At 44.8% G+C, this 27,770-nt stretch overlaps 2 protein-coding genes across 7 annotated transcripts in view, besides 2 other annotated features; one reads left to right on the plus strand and one right to left on the minus strand.

Annotated features, from left to right (window-relative positions):
• SYN2 (synapsin II) overlaps positions 1–27,770 on the plus strand; it is a 187,645-nt gene that overhangs the window by 127,375 nt on the left and 32,500 nt on the right. For 3 of the 6 annotated variants that reach the window (NM_133625.6, NM_003178.6, XM_006713311.4), the window contains exons 2-5: positions 8,889–8,946; positions 10,143–10,234; positions 13,917–14,073; positions 19,475–19,564. In NM_133625.6, the coding sequence (NP_598328.1) occupies positions 8,889–8,946; positions 10,143–10,234; positions 13,917–14,073; positions 19,475–19,564 (397 nt within the window). Of the gene's footprint in view, positions 1–8,888; positions 8,947–10,142; positions 10,235–13,916; positions 15,206–16,713; positions 16,930–19,474; positions 19,565–26,129; positions 26,830–27,770 lie in introns of those variants that run through there. The other 3 variants (XM_006713312.5, XM_006713313.3, XM_017007087.2) reach the window with 3 other exon arrangements.
• Positions 3,327–3,621: a silencer, noted in NCBI's record as "tiled region #15359; K562 Repressive non-DNase unmatched - State 12:CtcfO". NCBI's record gives its function as "represses a minimal TATA promoter and a strong SV40 promoter by Sharpr-MPRA in K562 cells {active_cell/tissue: K562}" and the evidence as "EXISTENCE:reporter gene assay evidence [ECO:0000049][PMID:27701403]".
• Positions 6,337–6,446: an enhancer, noted in NCBI's record as "active region_19435". NCBI's record gives its function as "activates an Ori minimal core promoter by ATAC-STARR-seq in GM12878 lymphoblastoid cells {active_cell/tissue: GM12878}" and the evidence as "EXISTENCE:reporter gene assay evidence [ECO:0000049][PMID:35858748]".
• Positions 21,306–27,150, minus strand: TIMP4 (TIMP metallopeptidase inhibitor 4). Its single transcript, NM_003256.4, has 5 exons — positions 26,940–27,150; positions 25,623–25,720; positions 25,058–25,172; positions 22,565–22,689; positions 21,306–21,950 (listed from the first exon to the last, which is right to left on the minus strand). Exons 1-5 carry the CDS (start codon positions 27,076–27,078, stop codon positions 21,753–21,755), a joined length of 675 nt encoding a protein of 224 aa, NP_003247.1. The 5' UTR covers positions 27,079–27,150; the 3' UTR covers positions 21,306–21,752.

The following is a 27,770-nucleotide window of genomic DNA, read 5'->3' on the forward strand; positions in this document are numbered from 1 at the left end:
TTCCCAACTGAAATCACAGCTGGGATGTTTACACAGAAATTAGTTATTTTCAGATCTTTGGGATTGCTGCTTTTCTTAAGAGATCTCATCTGCCACATAAGGCTGTTGAAGCCTCCCACAGATCACCTGATGAAATTTCATAAACTCCAGAGAAGGCATTCACAGAGGTCTTCAAGCCTAGGACTCTGTATTAGATTGAGCCTGGTTGCTCTCTCTGATTTTTTTCTTTTTCTTTTTCTTTTTTTTCCTTTCTTTTCTTTTTCTTTTTTTTCTTTTTTTTTCTTTTTTTTTTTGAGACAGGGTTTCACCATGTTGGCCAGGCTGCACTCGAACTCCTGGGCTCAAGTGATCCTCCAGCCTCAGCCTCCCAGGTAGTTTGGACTGCAGGCACATGCCATAGCACTCAGCTGTCCTCTGATATTAACCTTCAGATATCTAGCTGTGTTCAGTAACTCTATAAACATTTCATGTGTCAAACAGTAGGACAGGCTTTGGTAACACAAAATGAGTAGAGCAGAGTCCTCACCTAAGGAAGTATATGGTCTCTAAACTTGATCATCAAAAGAGTTGGAATTTAATTTGACTAGCTCTGCCACCTTCTAACTGCTACCTTTAAGCAAGTCAGTTAATTCATCTGAGCCTCATTTTTCTATAAAACCAGTAACATTAAGATGACATTCTTGTAAGAGGCATATTGTGAGGATTAATTTGGGTGATCTGAGATGAGTGATTTGATTTGTGTAGGGTCACTCAGTGTTTGTTTTTTCTTTCCCTCCTCCTCCACACCCATGTGTTGCCTTTGTATCTTTACAGACTGAAGACGACTCATTATTTTAGCTTTACTAAAATCAGAGTCATTTCATTTTGTTCTGTTTTTCTCTGGACCATTTCTACTTTCATCATGTCACTTTTGTCCAGATAAGTGGACCTAATATGCTGTATCATAAATAGGAAAGCATTACAGCTTGTACAAGATGGGGTTAGGGCATGAGTAGCCCTTTATGTTGGGTTTCCATAAGCTTTCTAGTGATAACTAACATTTTTTTACCTTTCATTCTATCTTTTTGGTTTTTGCCTGTTACAGCTCACAGGACTGTCTTCAGGAAACAATTTTCTGTCATTCCAGGTTCCTTTACCAGATTGTAGTTGAGCATTCCAGTTCATGATCCTCTGATAAGATTATTTCCCCTGAATGTGTTTTCTTACACTTAGGCACATTAAAACTCCTCTGCCACTTTTCTGCCCACGTCCACATCTTCTTTCAGTTTACCCCTAATCATCTTGGCATTTTAATCCCTGGAAGAGCTGAATGCCATCTGTAACCTTGGCAATTTCCCCATGCACTCTCTTCCACATCATTTATATGAATGTTAACTAAGACACCATGCAGCTTGCTCTCTATCTAAGAAGTGCCTTACTTGCAGAGCATTTGATATAACAATTTAATCAGTGAATTAATATCAAGGACCAGCCACAGAATGTTGCCTTTATCTGGGAAAGTATTCATGTCTTCCTGTTCTTTGTTTCTTATTCTGAACCAAACCAATGATCCATAACAGAAATTTCTCCAGGTACTGAAAGTTTTATGGTCCATAAATTAGATAACAAATCCAAATTTGAGTTGAGAACCCCTTCAATGTAAAGCCTGACTGTTTGAGGTCTTATTTATGTCTCTGTTCCAGAACATCTACAGTGGGAGTTCTATAAAGTGTTATGTCATTTCATTAAATCTGATTTTTTAAATGTCGTTGTCATTTCCCAGCTAGCTACTAAGCTCCTAGACCTAATCAATCAAGTGATTAATTGAATTGTCAGGTGAATGCTGTGCAATAGGTATTGGCCTGCCAAGTGCCAGTAAAATAGAAAATTCTGAAGTCTAATTACTACACTGGCTTCTGAAATGATCTTAAGCACTGATTCATTCCCTTCAGTCTTCTCCACATTCCAGAGAAAGCAGCCTCTCAGATCTTAGGCATATCTGACTGTATGATCTCTCTGCTTAAAATCTTTCAGTATTTTCTGAGACAGTTGGGAAAACTTGAATACAGACTCAGTAAAGATGTTAATAAAATTAATTTTGTTTGGTGAGACAATGGCATGGCACTTATATTTTAAAAGTCATTATCCTAGAATATTGGCAAATTAATACAGATGAAGTAGATTAGAGATTACCTGGGACTGAGGGGAGAGGGGAATGGGCACTTATTGCTTATTGGCTACAGAGTTTTTGTTTGGGATGATGAAAAGTTTTGAAAAATAGATAGTGGTGGTGGTTGCACGACATTGTGAATACCATTGAAGTGTATACGTAAAAGTGGTTAAAATGGAAAATGTTGTTATGTCTGTTTTGCCACTGTAAATCATAAAAATAACAGTCATTAACAGAATGCTTAAAAATTGACAGGATAAATGACATGATGTTTGGGACTTACTTTAAAATACTCAAACCGTAGTCTCAACAACAAAAACAGTGAGGGTAATAGATGAAAAAGATTGGTAAAATGTTGATGATTATTGTGGATATTTCTGCAGTGAAAAGTTGTAAAAAATCATTTGGAGATTAGCCCTCAAGTTCCAGAGACTCCACCTGACATTTAAAGCCCTTTGCTCTGCCACTTCCCTGCCTTGGGAACCTCTGGTCTTCACTGTTCAGCCAGCAGTGTGCTGGGCCCCTGTAGTGCCCAGAGCCTCACCCAAGCTTCTGTGCGTTTGCCCTTACATTTCAATTCTGCATCTTCCTTCCTATGTGGCTAATTCCTACTCATTCTTTAAGACTCAGTTCAGTCTCTTTGGAGCATTCATGGACTTCTCCAGGCAGGGAGAATGGCTCCCTCCTTTGGGTTCCCATAATGCTGTGCTTGTATGTCTACTGCAGTTGATACCCTGAATTATAATCTTTTATTTTTGTTTCTGTCTCTCCACTGACTTATGAGGTAGAGGAAACTTGCTTTCCACTGTACATCCTCCTGGACTATATGAAACTTTTATTATTGTTTTAGTTGTGTGCTTAAATTTTTTTTTAAAGGAAAAGATTAAAAGGTAGAAATGTGAGTGCTAGATGTAAATCTGAAGAGTTGAGTGGGAACTTAGCAGTGACCCCCATGTAGATATTGGCGTCCTTTTGTAGACTCTGCTTTCTGTACTTTGTTATCACTAATGGTTGCCAATTTTTATAGTTCCAGCACCTACCACTGGATGCTCAGTAAATTTTTGCTGAATTTAGTGACAAACCACGGCGTTTCTTTCTACAAGTTGCAAAAGCCAGCTATCCAGCTTCTTTGAGGGAGGGAAGTGGATGCATACTTGTTAGAAGAGACAGTTAATGTTTGGGTATGGTTTTTCAGAGCAGCAAATAAGCAGCTGGAGGGATACCCCTGTGCCAGTAGAGTCTGTGGCTATTCAGCCAGTGCAGTGAGTGGTGAGCTGTGACTGCAATCAGCTGCAGTACTCATCTTGCCAGTGGGTGGCGGCCGGCGCTCACAAACTTGCACCAGGACAGGAAGGCATGATTTTTACCCTAACAGTGTAGGTGGGGAAATAGGAATCTCCTACTATTTCTAGTTTATTTTCTAACTTCTTGAAGCCTTCAGATGTTTGGTTGAAAGAACAAGGCCTGAGTCAGAGTCAGTAAGAGCTAGAAACTAGCACCTTGTTAAAGGTAAATGTCTAGACCAGTGCTAGATATTTACTAGGTGCTGGACTGTTTACAGAGCTCTGGGAAGTCTTTTCCTCCCTAAATGCCTTCTGGAGTATGTGAATCCATCTTCAGTGCTGTCATCTTCTAGCCTGAGATTTGATCCTTATGCAAATTCCAGTCATCCTGGGAGGATTTATACTCTAGGCTCTTTCAGGTCCATTAGCTCCAATATAGACAGAGATTGAAAACAGATTTTCATGTGGAGGAGGAGAGGAAGGAAAGAACTTGACCCTCAGGATTGACACATGTGAGAAGAAGATGGCAGGGCCTGCAGAAATAGGCTCTGTCCTGAGGGTGCTGTCTTCTGGTTTTCTCCAGTGGTCCAGCCCAAACCACCACTCCTAACATCCCAGTCAATAAGCAAGTCCTGATTGTGAGGCCACTAAGTCACAGCTCTGTGAAGGATTTGGAAATTTATGGATATAATGATTATATTTGTACAGGCCTAGAGCATATAATCAAACAATAAGACATAATCAGTATTTAAAATCAAAAATTTTCTGAAAAATCCAAGACTCACATATGGATCATCCCTGCTCTGAAGCATTGTTACATAATCTAGTGGTCTGAGGCGTAGGTGGGGGAGCAGTGTCTGATTATTAGACAACCGACTTTGAAAGGTGGTATCAGATGATGATGCTGTGAGCCAAATATCATGAGCAGACAATAAATGTGATGAAAGTTCAGAAAAGGAAGAAGCCATGTTGGCTGTAGTCATATTAAAATAGCATAAATGTTTGCTGCTTTTTGCTAACAGTGCTTCATATTTGCATAAATTTCAGCATTTCCAAAACTTTCATGTCATCTGATTTCATTAAATCTTCACAACCACCTGTGAGCCAAACATTATTAAATGAGGTAAAATACATAAAACACTTAGAATAGTGCCTAGTACATCACAGGTGTTCACTATTAAGATCACCATTAGCCCTATTTTATAAATGACACAACTAAGACTCAGAGACGCATTATTTGCCCAAAGTCACACAGCTGAAAAGTGGTAGAAGTAGGCCTGAACCTAGCTTCCCTGGCTTCTATTTCTAGAACTCTTTCTCCATTATCCAATGCATAAAAGAGGGCGTATTTAAGCTAGGCTTGCCTGGGTTGGGCCAAGTTTTGTGGGGGCGTTAGGAGAGAAGTCTCTGAAATCATATTCCTCAGCCTCACAAGCCCTAGTTGTTAGGTGGATGGGAATTGATGAAGGTATTCACTTCCTTGAGTAACAAGAGTTAAATCTAGAAGCTTCTGCTCATTTTAGCAATAAGGGGAGATGGTTCATTACCTGGTCCATCAAGGAAGCTGCAAGCCATTAAACTTACATAGATCCTCAGCTGCTAGGCTTGTTAAGAAAAATGTTACAATAGGGGGAAATTGACAACACAGGCACTACAGATATTTTTAGTCTGTGTTTCAAGGATGTACATGTTGGGTTCTGTTTAGGATTGAGCACAAGGGGATGAATTTAGATTTATGTGACAAGACTGCCAATCAGAAAGTTCATATTGGTGGGGCATGGTGACTCACTCCTATCATCCCAGCACTTTCAGAGTCCAAGGCAGGAGGATTGCTTGAGCCCAGGGGTTCAAGAACAGCCTGGACAACATAGTGAAACCTTGTCTGTACAAAAAAAATTTAAAAATTAGCCTGGCGTGGTGGCATGTGCCTGTAGTTCCAGTTACTCTGGAGGCTGAGGCAGGAGGATCACTGGAGCTCAGGCAGTCGAGGCTACAGTGAGCTATGATTGCACCACTGCACTCTAGCCCGCGCAACAGAGCAAGATCCTGTCTCAAAAAAAAAAAAAAAAAAGTCCGTACTGGGCATCTTATCTGTTCCTATCTTATGCAAGGGACTGTGTGGGAAAACTAAGGGAAGTAGAGTAGTTTTCCCAGACTTTCAAATGCTGGTAAGAGTGGTATCATCTTTTTCTTGGGTGGGGGACAGTTTGGGAATATTAGTAAAAACCGTAACTGTGTCTGTTCCTTGTACCAGCACTTCTGTCATAAATTATTCATCCTGTGGATATATTTTTAAATGTAAGCCATTGTAGCACTGTTTGTAATACCAAAAGCAAGAAACTAGAAATCTAATGTGCTCACCAATATATAATGCCAATGCCAATACATGTTTACCAATAAAATACTGTATGTCCTTCAAATGGAATTTCATGCAACTATTAAAAAGGAAGAGGCCCATCAATATGTGCTGAAAGCATATCACTAAGATATATTTTTAAGTGCAAAAAACAAAAGTTTAAAAAAATTTATGTAGCATGCCATATGTATGTGTTTGAAGCATATATGTATGCAGGTATAGCCACACATTTTTTCCCCTCCACTGGAAGTATATGCTTATAATTGATAATGGGAAGTATATGTGATAAGAGAGGAATGGGAAAAAAGAACATTTTACTTTTTGTTTTATCCTTTTATATAATTTTAAAGATAGATTGATTGATTGGTTTAACCACATGATATACTATTTTTAAAAAATTTAAGCCTCCCTAAGGTCATACAACCAGGAAAGGGTACAGCTAGAATTCACACCCCAGATTGTGATTCCAGAGCCCATCCTCTGGATTCTAGCACACTGCCCTGTACTAGTGTTCTCTTAGTATCAGGAAAGACTTCTATCATTTGCTAGCAAGTTACACAATTTTTCATGAAAATACCTAGAATCAAAATGTCCAAGAGCCTGGAGCTGCAAGAATGTGCTCATTCTCCAGAAGAGGGCTCTGTGCCCCATCTGCCGGCCATCTTGGCTCCTTTTCTATAAGGTTGTGGCTCAGCCAAGACAGGTCAGTGACCCTGGGCCAGGAAACACACACTAAGATTTCCAACAGGACAAATTACCTTAAGGAAAAGGCATTAGGATAGCTAGAGAGGTGGGGGTGGAGGGAAGGCATGAAAACAGTTCATTAGCCAACTTGGTCAATGGGCAGGTGCAGGAAGTGGCAGATAAACCCAGCCAGAGTCTATAAATATATTTCAATATCAGTGTTCAAAACCCACAAAATAAATGAGTGAATTAAGAAACTTGGCAGCATGTAAGCACCTAGATGTAAACTCTTAGTTCTAGCCTTAACTCCCATGAACTTTTCTTTCTGATTTGGGCATGTTATTTAATTGTCCTGGGCTTCAGTTTCCCCATCAGCCAAATGGACCACATTATCTCTCTTGGCTCCTTCACAGAGTTGTGAGGAACAACTAGGGCAAGGAACATGCTTTGCAAATGCAAGGCATCATACGAAATGCGAGGTTATTGTTAATGTCTCTGAGATTTACCTCACAGAAGGAGAGCTATTTTGAGACAGGAAAATAGGAGGAAGCATCAGAAAAGCATTGCTGATAACAAGGTAGACATACCTCACCAATGAAAGAAAGGGATCTCATGGGTCATTCACTCCAGTTCCTTCTTTTTATAGTCATGGACAAAAACCTGCAGAGTCCAAGGTCTGCAGAGAAGTGATAGTGCCATACTAGACTCTATTAGTTAAACCTGTAAATAAAATGGAATAGTAGCCAAAGAAAGGGAATATACTACCGGGCCCCTGCCTGAGGGGCTCGCTGAGCTGTGAATGTTGATCAGGGTCCTGGAAACAAGCTGGTGTGAAGCTTAATAAGAAATTGGGGCAGAGGTGGGGGGTGGACTTAAGTGGTCCAGCTCCAGGATGGCTGAGTGCCTCAGAGGAGCAATTTGAGGGTGGCCAGGGACTTGGATAGGACAAATGACAACTTCCTAGAACGGGGTGTTCCAGAACCCATAGAGAAAAGGAAACAGCCTGGCCTCGTCCCGGGTAGTTGACAGGAACCAGGGTAGGAAGTATTTGTAGTGGGACTAATGCTCACATCATTAAGTCCCTTGTGAGTGGAAGAAGGAAAATGGGAATAAATGCAATGCGGCACACACAGGGCAAGTCCGTTTTTGTAGTGGTGTGAGCAGAGATGGAGAGAATAGATCACCAGGGGGAGACAGTGCCTGCAGTGTGAAGGGCAGTGGTCTCAGAGTGCCACAGACTTAGATGTGAATACTGGCTCTGCCACTAACTTGCTATAGGGCCTTGAATACACCATTTTCAATTCTGAATCTTGGTTTCCTTGTCTCTGAAATGAAGCCCTTTCTCTGTATCTTATACGTTGTTAGGACTAAATGAGATGTTCTTGAAAACAACTTGCATGTAATTCCTAGAACATGATGCCCAATAAATATTGGTTTATTCCTTCATTTTGGGGACAAACTCCCAAAAAATCTCCAATGAAATATTACAGTTGGAAATTTCAAGCACTGGAAAAGCAAGCTCAACTTACCTAACAGGTAGAGTATGGAAAGGCCCTTTTGACAAATGGAGAACCAGCCTAAAAGGACAGATAAGGAAATCTAATGTGGGGAGGGCAGGTTAGAAGCAAAGTAGGAATTAATATAAATATAAGCATAAAAATATCTGCTTATAAGGGATTAATTACTTATTACAGGGGATTAATTAATGCATTAATGTGAGGTTCCTCTAGATCTGTGACAAACTGGGAAGATACTATGTACTGTGTAACTCACCTTGACCCATTTTCTTGACTGCTCAGAAATGTGGGCTAAGTTTTGTGTTCAAATGCAATGGCTTCCCTCAGTCTTTTCCCGCTACCTTCTATTTTGGTCTAATTAATTTCCTCTCATTCATTGATTGTTCTTTAATCCTTATTTTGTTGGTTATATTTTTAAATTACTAATTGCCTCAGGTCCTCTTTGTATGGGTATGAAGAAGTAAAGTGATAATAACAGTTTCTTTAAAAACTAAAAATCCAAGGGTGGATACCAAATAGAAAACCATAGTAAAACGAAGGATCAAGGAAAATAAGGAAACTGCAGAGATGTATAAAGCTGATCTAGCCTTTATGAAGAATAAAACTGGGGAAATTCCTATTTCTAGATGCGTTTTATAGCCAAAAGACCAGAGATGTTATAACAAAACCTGATAATGAAGGGATGTTTTGGATTATTTTATAGATGGGTAAATTGAGGTTAAAAGAGAGGAAATGGTTTGTCTTGTGGTGATCTCATAGCAGAATGTGGATCAGAACCCAGGTCTCTTGACCCTCATTCTGGAGATCTGTCTGCTGTGGTCCTCTTCTTTGTAATAGTAAATGTCTGACTTTAAATACTTGCACAAAACTAATTTGTGTGGGTTTATTCTTTTCTCCAGGGCCAAGTGCTTTCGGGGCAAAAAAGTCCTTGGAGATTATGATATCAAGGTGGAACAGGTAATCAGCCTGAAGCCCAGAGCTGCATCCCCGTCATCACAGTTTCCTCTTGACATGCCAGAGTGAACCATCTCGTTCTGCTGAGTGGAATACTGTGTCCATCATTGGGTTCTGGACTCTGCATCTCCTCTCTCTCCTATCCTTTCCCCAGGACCTTTCTGTCTGTGAGGCATGGTCCTGGAGTCTGCATCTTTTCATTTCTCTGATTCCTTTTTATGGCTCTAGTGTCTGTAGATGAGCAAGCAGTTTGGTTCTTAGCACCCTCTTGCAGTGTAAGGTTCCCAGACTGAGGAAAACTTTAGAGGGCTTCCCAGAATATTGCACGTTACCTCCGTATTGTTGGTGGCAAGATATTTCTCGGTAGGCACATGTCTGCCTTTCAGGTATGCTGCCCCGAGTGATGGCTCCTTTGGGCCTGAGGCTATACTTTAGAGGAAACTTAGAAAAGAACACTTCCTTGTTTTAATACAGTGAATCACTGAAAGTCCAATTTTTTTTTTTTTTTTAACCTTCCTCCATCCTTTGCTTCATAATAAATAGTGATTGGGTCCATTTGGGGAAGAGGAGGACGTTCAGTTTCAACAATGCATGTATTTCCTATGTGATAAAAGAAGTTTCTCATCATTCATTATACAGTGTGTTATGACTTACTGACTGTTTTCAAACAACTTGTTACATAGGCAAGATTGATAAAAATTATTCCCATTTTGTAGATCAGGGAAATGGAAACCTAGAGAGTACAAGTAACTTGCTTAATGTTTTATGCAGCTAGGTAAGGGGAAAGCAGAACTAAAAACTAGTTACCTAAATTTAGACCTAGTGCTTTTATGTTGAAACTGATAAAAAGACATTTGTCTCAGTCCACATTCTCGCTCTGTAGAGAGGCAGCACAAAGGATGCTGGGCTGGGAGTTAGAGGACCTGAGTTTTGCTCCTTTCTCTGCCAATGATAAGTTTTGTTTGTCCTGAAAAGTTACTTAACTGCTCTGAGCCTCAATTTCCTCCTTTGGTAAATGGGGATAATTATCTCTGTCCCACCTTCATCACAGTGTTGCTATTAGAATTAGACTAACTCAGTATGTGAACATGTTTTGAAAACTGTATATAAATGTTTGGTGGTAGGGATGTTGCTGCTGCTATGTAGAGGACTTGGTGAAGTCAGGATTGTGAACTTATTCCCCTGTTATTATTTTCCAGGCAGAATTTTCAGAGCTCAACCTGGTGGCCCATGCAGATGGCACCTATGCTGTGGATATGCAGGTTCTCCGGAATGGCACAAAGGTTGTCCGGTAAGGGTCTTTCTGTCCTCAGGATCATTGTGACTGTCTCCAGAGTTACTACCTCTGGCCCAAAGAGGTGGTTTCTAAGTCAGGTGTTGGAGTGAGATAGCAGTGCTATGTATGGTATACAGAATTTAATGATGTGAGTTGTGCAGAAATAGTAGAAAAGAGAGAGAAAGCCAGCTTCTCGCTGAGCTTAGTCCAGTGGTAGAGAAAACAACCTGAAGCTTCACAGACTGAGAGCTCACTTAGACATAACTGGATTCCTTATAGGATTATTTCCCCCAACCCCTTCAGCCAGTGCAGCTCTGTGCTTTTATCCTGCATACATTTCCCTTGGAAAACAGAGTTCCATTGCTTTAAAACAAACAAACAGACTTGAAAATGTCTGATGTAGTTCAGCCTTCCATTTTACATTGATTTGCTTAGATTCCCCTAGTGAGTTGTGGCAGAGCCCTGTCTTCTATGTGAGATCACTTGACTCTCCATCCTGTATTCTTTCTATATTCCTCATTCCTGGGAACTCCTAAGTCTGATAGAAAAACCTAGGGCTGGAAGAGACATGGTGGGTGGAAGAAAATTAGCAATTATTGAGCACTTACATGCCAGGTGGTATGCTCGATGCCTCATAGATGTGATGTTGTCATACTCACAGAATTTTGTGAGAGAGGTAATGAGAATTCCAGACTGGAAAGTGGCGGAGCTGGGAGAGGGGGCGGCGGGAAATGGTTTCAACAAGTGTTATTCTTCCCAGGAGCTCATTATGGCTTCAGGTTTTCAGACATCAGTCTTGTTCCAAGAAGAGTCTTCACCTCACTCTCTTCTCCACCTCAATCTACAGTAACCTGACAGGCTTCCAGTGTCCAACAGGAACTGGATTGGTGACAGGAAAGGCCAGACTGGAGGTGTCTGGGACCTAACAACAGGAAATACGAGCTTGTCCATTCTGAAGATCAAGAAAGAAGACAGAAAAAGAGATGTCCATCCGGGTGGGGAGTGAGCTTAGGTAGCCCCTACAAGAGAAAATGGATGGGCTCCTCCAGCTGTAGGTAGAGAGGGTAATGGGGATACATGAACGCAAGCAGGTGGTGACAGAGAGGCCCAAAAGCAGGGCAAGAATAAAGGCAGGCCCTTCTGGGTACCAGGGTAGGAACTCAGGGGCTGGCCACAGTGTACAGCTCAATTCCTGTAACTGGGGTGCAGGATTGGAGTTGTATTTCAGGCATACAGCTGGTGCCAGCTTCCCAGAACTGGGACACAAGAAGGTCAGAGCAGCTCTAACAGATGCCATATTTCTGTTTGTTTGTTTAATAGATTGAGGGGATTCATGTACAGATTTGTTACACGAATTATGTACATTATGTAATGGTGAAGTTTGGGGTTCTAGTGTTCCATCGCCAAAATAATGAGCATCATATCCAATAGGTAATTTTTCAGCCCTCATCCCCCTCTCATCCTCCCCTCTTTTGGAGTCTCCAGTGTCTATTGTTTCCATCTTTATGTCTATGTGTACCCATTATTTGGCTCCCACTTATAAGTGACAAATGCAGTATTTGATTTTCTGTTTCTGAGTTACTTCAGTTAGGATAATGGCCTCCAGCTCCATCTTTGTTGCTGCAAAAGACATGATTTTATTTTTTTAATGACTGCGTTGTATTCCATGGTGTATGCTATATATATTTTCTTCATCCAGTCATCCACTGATGGATACTTAGGTTGATTCCATGACTTTGCTACTCTGAGTAGTGCTGCAATAAACATATGAGTACGGGTGTCTTTTAATATGATGATTTATTTTCCTTTGAGTAGATACTCAGTAATGGTATTGCTGGGTCATATGGTAGTTCTACTTTTAGTTCTTTGAGAAATCTTTATATTGTTTTCTGTAGAAGTTGTACTAATTTACATTCCCACCAACGATGTAAAAGCTTAAGTCCTCGAGTGGCCAAGGAAGGCTCCTTCAACCCTCACTTTAAAAGACTAATCTCAGCCTGGGTGCAGCTGGGGCTGGAGGTGGTGGGCGGATGGCTGCCTGGGCAGAGAACCAAGTAGGTCATTGTATATCATATGACTCTGCTGAGGCTTAGTGCCTTGGGAGTAGATGCTGCCACAGAACTGATTCTCTGGGAAGGTGGGGTTTCTCTGAAGCTCAGACATAAAAACAGGGGCCGTGGTCCTCTGGAATAGCGGTGGCTAGAAGCTTTGCTGGCTAGAGGGGAAACGCAGGAGCTTTCCCATGCATGGGAACATTCTGTACTCTCAGGGCTTCCTGTAGCCATTGCTCAACCTCAGTTCTGCGAAAAATATTTGTACCCCTCCCTAGCCTCCGCTTTGGAAGAATAACATTGGGAAGTCTGGCATCTGTCCTCAACCAGCCTGGCCCCTTGCTCTCCTGGGGGCCTGATGAGGGCATTGCCTATTTTAAGGAGCAGCTTTAAGGAGTCAGAAAAGAACACTGAGATCATGGACCTCTGTGGCAGTGTGGTGAAGGGAGCCAAGTACTGTCTGTTGTCTTCAGTTTTCCAGGACTTGCTTTGAGCTCCAACTCGAAAGCCACAAGGAGCTTCAGGCTCTTATACAGCCTCATGAAGTCAAGGAAAAATATTTTTCACTTAAGATGTGAGAGTCTAAAAGTGTTTCTTCCCTCCTAAGGGTATTTGTACCTTAGAAAAAGGTAGTGCTTAGCCCAGAGGAGAGAGGAAATGTCAGAATTCTGTTCCTCAAATCTCCTTTGGAAAGTACCATAATATTGGCCAGGCGTGGTGGCTCGCACCTGTAATCCCAGCACTTTGGGAGGCCAAGGCGGGCAGATCACTTGAGGCCAGGAGTTCAAGACCAGCTTGTCCAACATGGCGAACATGGCAAAACCCCATCTCTACTAAAACTACAAAAAATTATCTGAGCATATTGGTGTGTGCCTGTAATTCCAGCTACTTAGGAGGCTGAGGCACAAGAATCTCTTGAACCTGGGAGGCGGAGGTTGCAATGAGCTGAGATCGCGCCACTGCACTCTAGCCTGGGCAACGGAGCAAGACTTGTCTCAAAAAAACAAAAAATACAAAAACCAAACAAACAAAAAAGGAGAGTACCATAATATCCCATTTCCCAGTCCAGAAAGGAATAATAATAATAAAATTACAACCGTTGCTCATGCATGCACTCCCAGCACTTTGGGTGACTGACGTAGGAGAATCACTTGAGCCTAGGAGTTTGAGATCAGCCTGAGCAACATAGTGAGACCTCATCTCTCCAAACAATGAAAAAATTAGCCAGGGGTCATGGCACTTGCCTATAGTCCTAGCTACTTGAGACGCTGAGGCGAGAGGATCACTTGAGCCCAGGAGTTCAAGAAAAGCCTGGGCAACAAAGTAAGACCCTGTCTCTCCAAAACATAAAGAATTAGCTGGGCATGGTGATGTGTGCCTGTAGTACTACTTACTTAGCAGGCTAAGGCAGGAGGATCACCTGAACCCAGGAGTTTGAGGTTACAGTGAGCTATGGTTGTGCCACTGCACTTCAGCCTGGGCAACAGAGTAAGACCTGTCTCTAAAATAACAACAGTAAAATGAGGGGCTTGGACTAGGTGGTTCCTAAGCCCTCTTCTTTATCTTGGGTTTTGGAAATGGGAACCAAAATGATGTATGGCCTGAAGTGCTGGTTAATGGCAAACCTGCCTCTACCTTCTCACCAGGTCCTTCCGGCCAGACTTCGTGCTCATCCGGCAGCATGCATTTGGCATGGCGGAGAATGAGGACTTCCGCCACCTGATCATTGGTATGCAGTATGCAGGCCTCCCCAGCATCAACTCACTGGAATCCATATACAACTTCTGTGACAAGCCATGGGTGGTGAGTGAGGCCCCCTTCCCCCAAGTAAAAGGGTAGGATTCAGGCCCTACATCTCCCAGGTCCCTAGCAGGGACTCAAGATGCAGTAGGCCCCAGCCCCAGGAGGGTCCCTACATCTTCCAGGCCCCTAGGAGGGTCCTCAAGATGCAGTTGGCCCCAGCTAAGAGGATGTGAGAGGAGCTTCCCCTGGGACATGGGGGAGGGCTGGCCATCAGAATAGCACAGCATCACCTGTCACAGGCTCAGCACCTTTGCTGCGGAGTGGACCTTTGGCCTCACAACAAAGTCGCACAAAGATACCGTGAAGAAGCCCTTATAGGTCTGTAGGCTCTGCCCTTGGCCATAGGCTGCAATGATAAAAATGTCTGTTTCTTGCCTCCTAGAATGATTAAACTTTTGGAAAGGCCTGAGCCCAGTGACAACCAAGGGAATAGTCCAACTCAGGTAGTGACAGAGTCCTACCAAGTGGTTCAGCAACCTGAAAATGAAATTTATCCTCATGCATGTGAATCAAATACTTATGAGCTAGAAGTGTCTTGGAGATCATCAAAGCCTAACCCTAATTCTGACCTTAACCTTTCATGATAGAGATATGAAAATTAAAGAAGGAAAGTAAGGTGTAGAAAACTACTTACTATAGGATGCCAGTTTCTGAGATTTTTCTGTTAATTTCATTTAATCCTCACCTTACAAGGAAGATATCATTATTGTCACTTTTTACAGAGAAACAAAACCCAAAAAGGATTAAGTAACTTGCCAAAGTTACAGTGCCAGGATTTCTCTACATCCCACTGCCTCTCCCATAGATTGAGGCTCCTATATAAGGAGGAAACTGTTCTGGTTTTCTCTTCCTTGGCCAATTTGGAAATCTAGGAGGGCAGTGGAAACTTTTAGGCAGATAGAAAAAGTGGGGCTAGGAGGGAGAGTGACTTATGATGGCTTTGGGGGCACTCTGGCTTCCCCTCCGACCACTGAGGGGACCCAGCTCCTCTGCTGGCTCTGCTACTTCAGGCTGGCCCTCTCAGAAGGTAACACCTACCCCTAATCACATCCTCATTGGCTTGCAGTATGCAGGCCTCCCCTGCATCAACTCACTGGAATCCATTTATAACTTCTGTGACAAGCCATGGGTGGAAAGTGAGGCCCCCTTCCCCCAGGTAAAAGGCTAGGATCCAGACCCTGCATCTTCCAGGCCCCTAGGAGGGACTTCTGGACCCCAAGATGCAGTAAGCCCTTCTTGTTTTGTAAAAATGAAATTTCAGCTGTCACACGCCCTGGATTGCCAAGGTTCCTGGAACTTGTGTCTAATTGTGAAGTTTCCACGCCTTTACACCACTCAGAGAGCTGAAGAGGGGTGTGTGTGTGTGTGTATGTGTGTGTGTATGTGTGTGTGTTAACCAAACAGATCTGTCACTTCTGATCTTGATCTTTTTTTTCACCCTGGAACTAACAGCTTTCTTTTTCCTTTTGAAGCCAGGGAGAGCTTGGAGTGTAAGAAAAAGATCAATGGACAAGTAGTCAGGAGGGCTGGGAGCTGCCATGGTTAAGGAGGGGGTTGGGTTCCCAAGCTCCACTTGTTCAGCCTTTCCTTCTGCGTGGCCTGAGGCATCTGGAATCCTAGATTCTGCAGAAACACGCTAACAGAGTGTGATTTTAGTATGTTGCCAATCACAGAAGAGCATATGTGAGACCTTTACCAAGTGTCTTTTTTGTGGACCTCCCCTTTCTCCTCAGTCACATGTCCTTCCTACGGCACACGTGTCCTAACCCACGTGCACCCCCGGTACTTGTCAGAATTTGACTCTCTCCTAGCCACACAGGGTGATCCTGCTATTAGCAGCTTTTTCTGGGTGATTTCACTGCTTATCAACTCTCTGACCGAACCTGTGCCCCAGTTTCTTCATCTACAAACTGGGAATAATAGTAGCACCTGCCACCACTTTGACAGCCTGGTTGTTACAGGCTCCTAGTGTATGGGTTCTCTTAAAGAAATTTGTGGCCAGACGTGGTGGCTCACGCCTGTAATCCCAGCACTTTGGGAGGCTGAGGCAGGCACATCACGAGGTCAGGAGATCAAGACCATCCTAACTAACACAGAGAAACCCGTCTCTACTAAAAATACAAAAAAAATTAGCCGGGTGTGGTGGCAGGTGCCTGTAGTCCCAGCAACTTAGGTGGCTGAGGCGGGAGAATGGCGTGAACCCGGGAGGCGGAGCTTGCAATGAGCCAAGATCGCACCACTGTACTCCAGCCTGGGCGACAGAGCGAGACTCTGTCTCAAAAAAAAAAAAGAAATGTGTTCCCTGTTTTCTTTTCCTAAACTGTGCCAGAGGCCAGGGCAGGAAGAATGGGGAGAGCCTGTGGCTAGGGCTTTGCTCCTCCCGGGATCTGGGATCTGGTGAGGGGTCACACTCTCACCCATTCACAATCTGAGCACATTGCCTTGGGCCCTGCATGAGGAGAACAGCAGGGCTCCCTGGCCAGACCCCAAGTTCTCCCTTCAGTTTCACAAAGCAGCTGCCACATGAATGACGTTTTACATATTGTTCTCTGCTAGTTCATGGGAGTGGACAAATTTGGTGACTGTGAGGGGAGGGTCCCTTTCAGCTGATGACTTTGGGTTGTGTTTCTCAATATCTTTACTATGACTGCTGTTGGTGTGAGGAGATACTTTGATTGGGTTGGAAAAGGCTCTGCCTTGCACAGCTGTGTCTCTGAGCACATTGCTGTCTCTGAAGTTGGTCAGGGCAAGCCACTGGGATTTGGGGAGCAGAAGTGGACCTGTCAATGAAAGCAGCATTCCAGACAAAGCAAGAATGGCACCACCGTTTATTGCTGCCAGTCTATCTGAAATTCCGTGAGTCTTTCTGGGTTTTTGGAGATAAGTGCACCAGAGTTAAATTAAATCATTTAATTTCCAGGAGTGATAGGCATAGGGACACATTACTCAAATGGATCTGGAATCCCATTTTTTTCCAAGAAATCTTTCTTGATTCATTGGATGAGTGGCTATAATGGACATATCTTCCTATTAATTGCCAACAGCACCCCCAGCTCCCAAATTCATTCTTTTGTCTATGTGTAGAGGTAACAGCCCTTATCAGATGTTACATTTGTTTAATTGGTGACTGTGTGGCTGTGATTTAATCTAAGTTTCCAGGGAGCTATGGGTTAGATGCCAAGCTCACTACCTTGAGCAGACAGGGACTGCTGGAGAGGAGGGTGGGGTGAGCTCCCTGAGACCCAACGAGAGCCTGGGAACTGGCTGCCATTATTGTGTTGGCTGTCCCAGGGCTCTGGGAGTCTGCCACAGGCTGTCCTGGCATCTGTGTGGTGTCTGTGTAACTCCCCCACATGCTGGAAAGGTAGGGCCCCACATGTCTTGGTGCCATGCCAGAGCGTGGGCTGCAGCAGGACAGAGGTCGTTTGGCAGAGCTGGCATTAACTCCCTAGGGATGCTGGAGAGCCTTAGGAGCACAGGCAGGTGTCCAGAGGCAGAGCAGAAGTCCAGCCAGGCCCAGATGGGCAGGCAGGACGTAAAGGTCAGATGAGCAGGTGTGGAGAATCAGAGAAGGCAGGAAAGGTCTGAGGGTTCGTTCTTGACAGTTAAAGCAAATTGAAGGACCAAAGTCGGTGAGGACAGCAGGGTACAATGGTGAATGCACCCAGCAAGGAGAAGAGACCTGAGTGCTCTTGCAGTGCAGCCCTGACTCCAGGATGTGATCCGGGAGCCTGCACTTTCCTTTGCTCTCCAGCCTCAATCTCAATTTGTCAAATCAGAGGGCTGGCCTAGAGACTCTATAAAGTCCCTTTTGACAATGGTATCTTAGGGGCTTGAGGGTCCATGAATCATCCTTTCAGTCCTGGAGGAGGCCCTAGAGCTCTAGAGTCACCAATTGTTTGTCACTAAAGGGAGGGACCTAGGAATTCCAGTGTTTTCCAGCATTTCAAAAATAACAAAATCATATCTATACCTACAAAAGGACCACAACAGATGATCACTTAAACTACAGTTTGATAGCAGAGTTTGGGAGGAAATATAATAAAGAGATATTCTTTATGGTACAAAGTTTGAGGAACTGATCAAATTTAACCATCTCATTTTATATATGAAGAAAATGAGATCCAGAGAGGAAAACTCATTTGCCCAAGGACACCTAGGAAGTTAACAGAACAAGAATCAGAAGATTCCAGTTTTCTAACAACCCAGTTCCGAGCTTTTACTGCCCCAACCTCGTCTCCCCTCCCTGGCTTATGTGCCAGTATCGCTTGTAGAGAACAGGACCTGAGCTGTTGAAAAATGTTCTAGCCTTCCTTTCTCTGATAAATAGATTTCATCTAGCAGCTTTCCCTTCTAGCCATGCCAGATACCAGTGGCTTCGAGTGTGAACTAATCCAGTAGCCCTAGAGAGATGTGTTTCCTCTGCTGCTGATGCACTGGGGATGGGAGTGTAGGTGTGTATGTGACTGGATTGAGCAGGAAAGTCCTGTATTTCCTGTGGAAAGGGCATAGTTTCTACAGAGCCTGAAAGGCAGCTACTTGCAGGAATAAGGAGAGTTATGGATTGGAAATGAAGGGGCCTTGCTGTGAACCTGGCTCAACTACTGTGTGACTTTGGGCAAGTGACCTCTCTGGGCCTCAGCTTCTTCATTTATAAGATGGAGCGGGGTGGGGGAGCCCAGGTGTGCACTAAGAAAGCCTTTCAACCCTGACACTGTAAGTATGTGTACTTTGCCCCTTCCCCATGGAGCTATTCCAGTTTCTCATATGTAGGCAAAGGGTCCAGTAAGTTCAGTCCCTCGTTAGGTAGTAAGTCCCAGAAAGACTGGGCCTGTCTATCCCACATACCATGACCATTCTAATCTTCCTGAAGAACAGCTTCATTTTATGATGCCTCCTGCTCAAATTCTTGGTGATTCCATACTGCTTACTGGAAAAATCCATCATTCCTTTGCCTGACGTTTGAACTTCCAAGACTTGGCCCATGTCACCTATCCAGCTTCATGCCTTGCGATCACTCAGAGATGCAGGTGTGGAAAGTCAGAGACCCAATTTTTGATCCCAGCTTCACCTTGCAGTTCTGTGACTATAGGCAAGTTTTGTATCCTCTCTGGGCCCCATATGTAAAATGAATATGATAAAATACTAGTTCATCAATTTGATTTGAAACATCATTACAATTGAGAAAGGTAATTGAATTTTAGCTCACTCTCTTTCCCTTCCCCAACTAATGCGTATCATATCCTTGGAAATAGGAATTGTACACTTCTTTTATATCCTCACAATGCTTAGCATAAAGTCCTCCACAGAGCAAATGCTCAATAAATATTTGATGAGTTGATGTTTCATCTGTTTCAGAAGTTATCTAAGATAAGCTGTAACATTTGCTTTTCTTTTGCAGTTTGCCCAGCTGGTCGCTATCTATAAGACACTGGGAGGAGAAAAGTTCCCTCTCATTGAACAGACATACTACCCCAACCACAAAGAGATGGTAAGTGGCTCAGTGGGGACATTAGTCTTTCTGCTGTTTTCATTTTGCACTTAGCCACCTGGTTATTGTGGGGCTCTGAAAAGGGCCTCAGCATCTCAACCCCAAAGACTCCACTGGGGTTGAACTATAGAGCTTATGCGGCTGGAATAACTAGATTTTAGCTGACAGCCTCTTGTCAAATTCTGGAGATAGAATAGGGAAAAACAGGAGTAAGGGCAGTTTAATCAAGCTGAGAGAATAACAAACTTCTGGACCAACAATCAGATCTCACTGCTTTTGAGTCCCAGCCCTGGCTCTGCCACTTGTCATTGAACAAGCTGCATTTCCTCACTGTGTGCAGTTTCCAATAAGACGGTCAAGTGGGCATATTTATCCCTGCACAGGATATTCTAATATGGTACAGACACAATTTAAGTGAGATTCATTAAGTAATAGCTTCTGGGAAAGTGTGAAGCATCTACTAGATGTAAGGCATTGCTCCTACTATTATTAATCCCCTGACTCTCCCATTCCCCTGGCGCTTCCACAACTGTGATAAGGCTGGGTTAACACTGTGCCTTCTCTGAGGCCATCCTAGTAAGTCAGAAGGAGCAGAGAGATGGGACGGTTGGTTGGTAAGGAGGCTATTGCCAATGTTTTTCCCGTGCAGGGACCTGGAGCTCAAACTCCCTTCTTCTTCCCTGTCCCCACACCCTCTGCCCCAGGCTGGTGTGATCAATTGGTGATCGTGCTTAACCCACCAATGGAGACTCCCTGCGAAGCATTCCAAGTGGAACAGAGATTATGTTTGTGCCCGCCTCCCCACTTCCTTGGCCAAAAGGGGTCTCCATTTACACCATTTCTGCAAATCAAGAGCCTTCTGACACATTGTGCATGGCCCTGCTCACCAGCAGACCACATATCAAAAAACAACCTTGGGCATTGAAAAGAACCATCTCTGTCATCTTTGCCAGAGCTTCCCCAGGGAGAAGCTCTGAAACTCTAAGCTCTTGTCCTTAATAAATCCTAGAGGCCAATATCAGGACTTTTCCTTTCAGGGCAAGCCAGGAAGCCTTGCAGAGGCTGAGGAGCCCTGAGGGTCCTTTGGTTGGGGAATCTCAGGGAGCCCAAGGCACAATGGTGAGAGTACTCAGCTGAAGGGTACAGGGGGCTCTCTGGGGATCAAAACTGGCTTTTTCCTGCTGTAGCATCTAGCAGGGCTGGCTGCTGGAAAAAAACTGCCTTAATTGCCAGGTATATTCCCTACCTACCGTGCTTTTCCCTCAAGGGCCTTTGTGTTATTTCTCTCCGGTGCTCTATCCTGAAATTTGCCCTCAAGAGAGGACCACCTCTCTGTGGTGTAAAAAGCCAACAAAGGGGGATTTCAGCTCTGTAAGAAAAAGGCTTTGTGGCTTTTAAAAAGTTCTGAAATAGGAATGAAGATGTTAGTAATTTAAAAGAGACAGAAGAGAAGCCTTATGGACATCAGTTGAGGGCATTAAGGATAGTTAACTTGGAGAGGTAGTACCTATTCTGAGACAGTAAGTGCATTCTTATTCAAAGAGGTGTGCTAACCAGGTGGGACCCTCTGCCAGAAATGGTATAGAGGGGATAACAGCATTGGAAGGCAGGTTAGTCCATTCTGGCTCTCACATTGAGTGATTCTGTGTCTCCCAAATGACTCCCCCAAACAGATGAAAGTGTATCAGAGGATTAGGATGAGTTGAGACAGGGGAAGTAGAGGATACACAGCCACAGTATGTTCTTGTTTTCATTCCTGCCAGTCAGCCTGTTTATGATGCTGTCAAACCACCTTCTGATACTGTACATCGCAAGGATATACCATCTCATGTGTATGACATTCGCCATTTCTCCCCTACCAGATCGATTAAGACAAAGGAAAACACATATTCCTGGGGAGGAAAGGGAATAGTCCTGGCTTTAGAAAACAGACTAAGCCAGAAGAAACACTTGCAGTAACAGCTACAAGGCTAGACTAATGGGGTTTGGGAGGCAGGGGCAACAGGCTGAGGGCAGGGCAGAAAAGTCATGGCCCCTTCCCTGCCTTGACAGTGGCCAGACTGTCCACTTGGCACTTCTTATTAGCTGGCAGCAAGAGGTCAGGTGGTAATGGCCAAAGCTCTGCAGGGAAGGAGAACTGGCTTGATCTTCAGGACTCTTGAAGGGATGTGATGGTCACTGGTCCCTACTAGGGCTGAACGATGTCAACAAACTCCTTCCTGAGAGGCAGGTGGCCCCGGTACCAGCTGCAGGTGCCGTCAACATGCTTCATACAGACATAATGCTGAGCCTGGTAACCATAGAGCTTTCGTTCCAACAGCCAGTCTGTCCAGAGGCACTCGTTAGGGGCCGAGATGGTACAGGGTACTGTGTAGCAGGTGGTGATCTAGAGTCATGGCCACACAACATTAAAGTGAGTAGGGTGTCCTTCTTTTTCCATTGCTGCCTTTCAGATTCCTACGTACCTTTCCAGCCCATCTCAAATGCCCCCTATCTTATCAAGCCTTTCCCAGTCCCCAGTCTTCTCCTGGATTCTCCTTCCCCAAGGTTCCCCATATTCAATATTGCCACTTAGTGGCATCTCTGGAGTCAGACAGCTCTGAGGGTCCTTACTCTACCACTGACCTTGAGCACTTCACTTGCCAGAGCTTTCATTTCTTCACCTTAAAATGGAAATCTTAATTCTTCATAAATATGTTTTGGAGACTAAATTAAACATTTACAGTAAATTTACTATTACAGTGGCTGGCAAAGAATAGACTCTCTTTAAAGGGTAGCTGTGTTACAGTTATCTCAGTCTGCCTCCTGTGATGGCCACCTTCCCAGCCAAAGTGTAAGTACTTTGAGATCAGGGCCTATAGACTGTATTGCTTTCTCATCCCCAACTTCATACAGTGCAGATCTCAAGTATAGTCTAGTAAGTGAATAAATTCATGCATGAATGAAGGCTCAGAACCCTTCCCCCATCCCTAAAGACTTTGGAAATGGACATTCCCTTACTTGGCAGCCACAGTTCAGATGGTAGTGATGATTCAGACTTTCCCTCTGCACCAAGGACAGGTCCTCCCAGGGCTCGATGTAGTTGCACAGATGGATGAAGACTTTTCCATCACTGAGGACCTGACCTTCAAGGGGAGATGGAGGAGAGTCAAGCATCAGGATTCTTCTCCTGGAGCCCCAGGGGCCCAGGTCCTTGAAAAGCCCAGAATTGCAGCCTCCCCAATGACTTTGGTGGCAGTGGTGGCATGGGGCTCAGTGAAGGGACCAATAAATAAAACTACTATAATCTTTCTAGCAAAAAGATAAGCAGATTATGTTTGTACGAGGCAGAGTTGTGGGATCTGGTGAAGGCCTTTTCGTTTAGCATGGTACAGAGAGAAGAATGTGGTCTTTAAAGTCAAAGTCTGTGTGGGATCCCCCTTTCTTTTCTGTCATTTACTAGCTGAATGATCTTAAGGAAGTTGTATAACCTCTCAGCTGGAAGATGAAAATTATAAAGTTGTCAGATTAAATGAGAGATTGTCTATAAAGTTCCCAGCACAGTTGTGGTCCCACAGAAGATATTCAATAAATAATAGGTCCCTTCCCCTTTCCAGCCCTTCCCAGTATCTGCACAGGCCAGGCTCCTGCTCTAGATTGGTGAGTCTTTTACCTTCCCCATAGGAAATTTCCCCCTTTTTACCTATGAAGCTCCTTTTCACCTTTCAGACGAGATCGGGCGCGTTCAGGGTGGTATGGCCGTAGATTCCTTTTCACCTTTCAAAGACCCTTTCAGTGCCACCTCAAAGCCATCTCTGACCACCTAGCTAGCCCATGCCTCTTTTAGAACCTCAGTCGCTCAATCATTTACTCACTGAGTGACTGCTGTGATCTAGTACCAGGAATACAGATATAAAAATGACAGGATCTCTGCTCCCAAGGAGCTTAGAAATGAGTAGGGTAGATGGATAAGTAGGGAAAAATTACACTATTGTGTGGTTCTATACAAAGTGCAGTATAAGAACAAAGGAACATACAATTATTTCCATCTATGGAAGGAGTGTGGGGCAAAGAAGGTGTCTCAGAGAAGACTGTGCTTGCATTGGGCCTTGAAGGGATGAGTGGGAGTCTGCCTACCAAACAGGTTGGGGGAAGGGCTTCCTGTCATTGCCACTATCCTGTGCAGAGGCAGGGAGACACAGCCTGGCAGCATACCTTCTGCAACCACAGGTAGCTGAGTTCAGTTCTTGGGAAAGTGAGGGGCTGGGAACTGATATTGACAAAGCTAGAGAGGGCAGCAGTGTTCTGGTCACAAAGAGCTTTCAACACCAGGCAAAGGAGCTTGTGCCTTCTCCTGTAGGACCTGGGCACCATTGATAACTTTTCTTAGACTATTTTTTGTCATTTCTCCCCACCCTCAGTTAGACTTGACCTCCCTGAAGGCAGGGAACATGTTTCCTCATTTCCCCTGCTGTACCTCCATGCCTAGCAGCGGGCTAGACACACAGAGGGCAGGTGCTTAGGAAGGAGGTGCGATAATAGAGTTTGAAAGGGCCTGGTCTGCTAGACCTGGGAACTGCAGGGCTCAGTGGTGTGTCCTGCCTCTGCCTCTTCCATCCAGGAGCTCCTCAGTTCTGTACAATTCCACATCCTCAGAGCTAGGAAGCCCTTATCATTGTAGCCTCCAGTGCCTATGACTCATCAAGAGCCATGTCTGGACAGTGAACTCTTTTAAGGACTGTGCCTTGTTACTGAATCTCCACTCTCCTGGCCAAGGCATGGCAGTGACTAAGTGGTCATTCATTGCTGAATGTGTGGATAGATCGTGGAATCCCTTCACCTGTTCCCTCCCCCACTGCTGTGCTTTTTCTTTCCCTTGCTTTCTTTCTAAATATTGTTTTATGTTTTCAGGCCAGTTTAGATCCCACCTACACAATGAAGCTTCCCTGATAGTTCACAACTACCAAATAGTTCCGTTCTCTGAACTCCAAAATAATTTAATGTTGCATTCATTTATGGAGTCATATTTTTGTGTGATTCTTTAACTGTTCTATCCCAGCCAATTCAGTATGGAGGAATCCTGCCTGGGCCCAAGTTCACAGAGACAGAACTATGTTAGACTCAAGCTCCTGTTAAGTCCTGTGCAAAAGGCAGAGTTGACCTGCAAGGAGCAGTTTTAGAGAGGAGACTTCGACTCAAGTTGCCAAAAATCTTATACTAATTTAAACTATTTGAAAAACGGAAGCAGCTGCCCTACACTGGGTGAGCAGCCTGTCCTTAAAATAGTGAAACGGTGGCCAGGGTCACTGTACTAAGAACTCTTACATTTAAAGGGAGGTTACAAGGCTCCTCCTAACCCAGAGGTTGTCTGTCACTAACACAGCTCTGTTTTATGCCCAAGAAAATGCCACCTGGCTCAGCCTACTGCCCAAGGAAGACCCTGGCTCCTTTCTCACTACCTCCCCTAGGGCAGAATCTATTATATTAAGGCCAGTTGTTGGTCTTTTAACTTACCAGTCAAGAGATACTGCTTCTGGCTGTTGGCTTCTAGTTTCACACCACAGAGGGAAGAGTCAAAAGGCGTATAGATATACTGAACATCCTTGACTTTCTCAAACCCTTTGAACATCTGACAGGCAATTACAAAAAAAGGCAATATTGGGTCAGTGAGTGTACTGTATATATTAACAGACAAAAACCTCTCACTTCTCAGCCTAAAAATGTAAGCAAAAGTCTAGTTGAGGATTTTGTGTCCTCAGATGTCCCTACTGGGTTATTTTCTCTCTTAAAACAAAACAACAACAACAAAAAACACCTAAACCTTGGTTTATTCCAGTAGGTACCTGTAGTGGCACCATACACCAGCAGCTGTGGGACCAGATGGATGCTGAGGCCCTCCCTGGCAATATCCCTGGGATTCTATGGGCTCTGCCTCCAAATCTCATCCAGTTCCACTTCAGTATCTAGACCCAAGGATTACTGAGCCAGGCCACCTGAAAGCTACCAGCCCTCCCAGAACACAGACTCCACTTTCTCCATCAGCCTTAGGGGCTACACATCCCAGCCTGCCCCCATGTACCTTTATCTGTTTGATTTCATACCGGAGCATTTTTTCAGTGTCAGCAGGGTCTGCACTGGCCGGAACTACCTTCTCACTGGAGATTTTGGCCCGAATCACTGCATAGGAAGAGAAAAGAGGGAACCTTCAGCAGCTGGTGGGGGCAATACACCTGAGGTCTGGATGATCCAGGGTCCATGAAGAAGTCTATAGGGCAGTTCTTGGTTTTGGTGTGGCTGGGTTGTGAGCAACGTGATGTGTGAGAAGGGGGACCTGGAAACACCTCCCCTGCAGTCACTGGAAGTTCCAAACCCCTCAGGCTTATTAGGTCCTATAACCGCTAAGCTGTTTCTGCCTTTTGAACCAGTTAGTCTGGAGAGCTCTAGTTCTCCATAGCCGTTTGTGCAGTGGGGCACAGGGTAGGAGTCAGAGTAGAGAAGGGAGGAGGAGCCCCTTCAGGGCAGTCGGTGTGAAGTTTATCTATTGCTGTGGTCAAGGCCTCTCATCCCGCCTACAGTTGATATTAGTAAATGTTTATTGAATTCATAAATGTTCTGACCCTGCACTGAGGTATTGCATCTCTTGCCATTTGAGCATTAATAACCAAAAACTGTTGATGATGTTCTTCCTCTGTGCCTGGCCTTGCACTAGGCACTAGGCCCATAGATGTGATTAAGACAGGGTCCCCATCCTGCCGAGCTCTTGATCTAGTGGAGTGCACACGTGTAAAGAACAACAGCACAGCATAGTAGGAGCGCTAAGACGGTTAGAGATGCTGAGGCGGCACCAAGGAGCCCGGGAGCCTGCAGAGAAGGGGAGAGACCTAAGTTAGCCCTTGAAGGATGAGTAGGAGTCTGCCAGGAATTTAAGGGTGTGAGGGAGGGCATTCCAGGCAGAGGGAAGAGAAAGGACAGAACGTGTGTGTTGCCATAGGGGCTTGGTGGCAACCTCAGTTATAGGCCTGGACAGACACGGGTAGTTACAATGCAAGCCCTCTCCCCTCCCCTTTCTGTCCCCAGTCTAGTAGTTCAGAATAATCATCAGATAGCTCCGGTGACACCTTGTGTAATGACACTCCATAATTGCAGTATGGCCGGAGTGAGGGAGGTCGCTATGGAAGTCCCTGATGAAATCTTCATTTCCTTATGAATCAGTCAGGTTCTGGGCTTGCAAGGTTGCTATGGCGCCTGGTCCTTCTCCACCCATCAGCCTCAGCAAGAGACAACCGGTAAGAATTTGAGCTCCTCCCTTTTCCTCTGGACTCCTGGTGTACTGCTGGCCAGATACTAATCCCCCACAACCACCCCCTGCTGTGGACCTCGCGGACCTCGGACTCACCAAGTGCCGAGTGGCAGATGTGCTGCTGAGGGTGCGCCGGGGCGCAGCTGCATGCCTCACCCAGCCCCGGGGGCCGCAGCAACGCCAGCAGCCGCAGCAACAGCACCCAGCTTGGCGCGGGCCGAGGGCTCCCAGGCATGACACTGCAGATCCGCGACTGAGCCTGTGAGGTCTGGGGGACTGGACGGCCCCAGCAGGGCTCCTTCCCAAGGCCGTTGTGCCCCTCGCCCCAGGCTTTATGAGGTGGCCCTAAGGGCCAATCCCGCCCCGACGGGCTCCGCCTTCCTTTGGCTCTAGGCCACCCGCGGAGGCAGGACCCGAGGCTCTTCCGACCTGCATACTCAGTAAGATGCAGAGGGAAGCCTGGAAGGAGGCCCTGACCTCTGTTTCCCTGCCTAAGTCATGAAGCGATCTGGAAGCAGAGGGGAAGCACTGGGAGAGGGGATGGTGTCAAGGGCAGAAAGACGGAAAGAGCCACAAAGACAAATGCATGAGGACAGAAAAACTGAGGGCTGTGATTCAGGCAGAAAGAACAAGAGTGAGGAGAGGCACAGACAGAAAGAGTGAGACAGGCAGAGTCCCAGAGAGGCAGACAGAATTACAACAGGCAAAAGAGACAGTGACAGAGAAGGACGGACCCCTTGCTGAGCTGCACGCTGGGAATGAGACGAGCTACTCAGGGCTTCTTTCAGCTGCAGGAAGTGCTTTCAATGCCCTATTTATGAGGCTCCAAAGCAACAGCAAACAGTAATAGAACAGGACAGAGAAAGTTGGGGTGTGTGTGTCTTGGCTCTGTTGCCTGGGGGGTGGGGAGAGATGTCAAAGAAGCAG

The sequence above is a fragment of the Homo sapiens genome, chromosome 3 (genome assembly GCF_000001405.40).
Source record: "Homo sapiens chromosome 3, GRCh38.p14 Primary Assembly".
In the NCBI taxonomy this organism is placed as follows: Eukaryota; Metazoa; Chordata; class Mammalia; order Primates; family Hominidae; genus Homo; species Homo sapiens.

What these genes read in the sequence shown, in the direction of transcription:
- TIMP4 (NM_003256.4), bottom strand. Translation starts at nt 27,078, where the DNA reads ATGCCTGGGAGCCCTCGGCCCGCGCCAAGCTGGGTGCTGTTGCTGCGG. An exon ending in CATCTGCCACTCGGCACTTG is followed by an intron (nt 25,721 to 26,939) that starts GTGAGTCCGAGG and finishes CTTCCTATGCAG; the next exon opens with TGATTCGGGCCAAAATCTCC. An exon ending in ATGAAATCAAACAGATAAAG is followed by an intron (nt 25,173 to 25,622) that starts GTACATGGGGGC and finishes ATTGCCTGTCAG; the next exon opens with ATGTTCAAAGGGTTTGAGAA.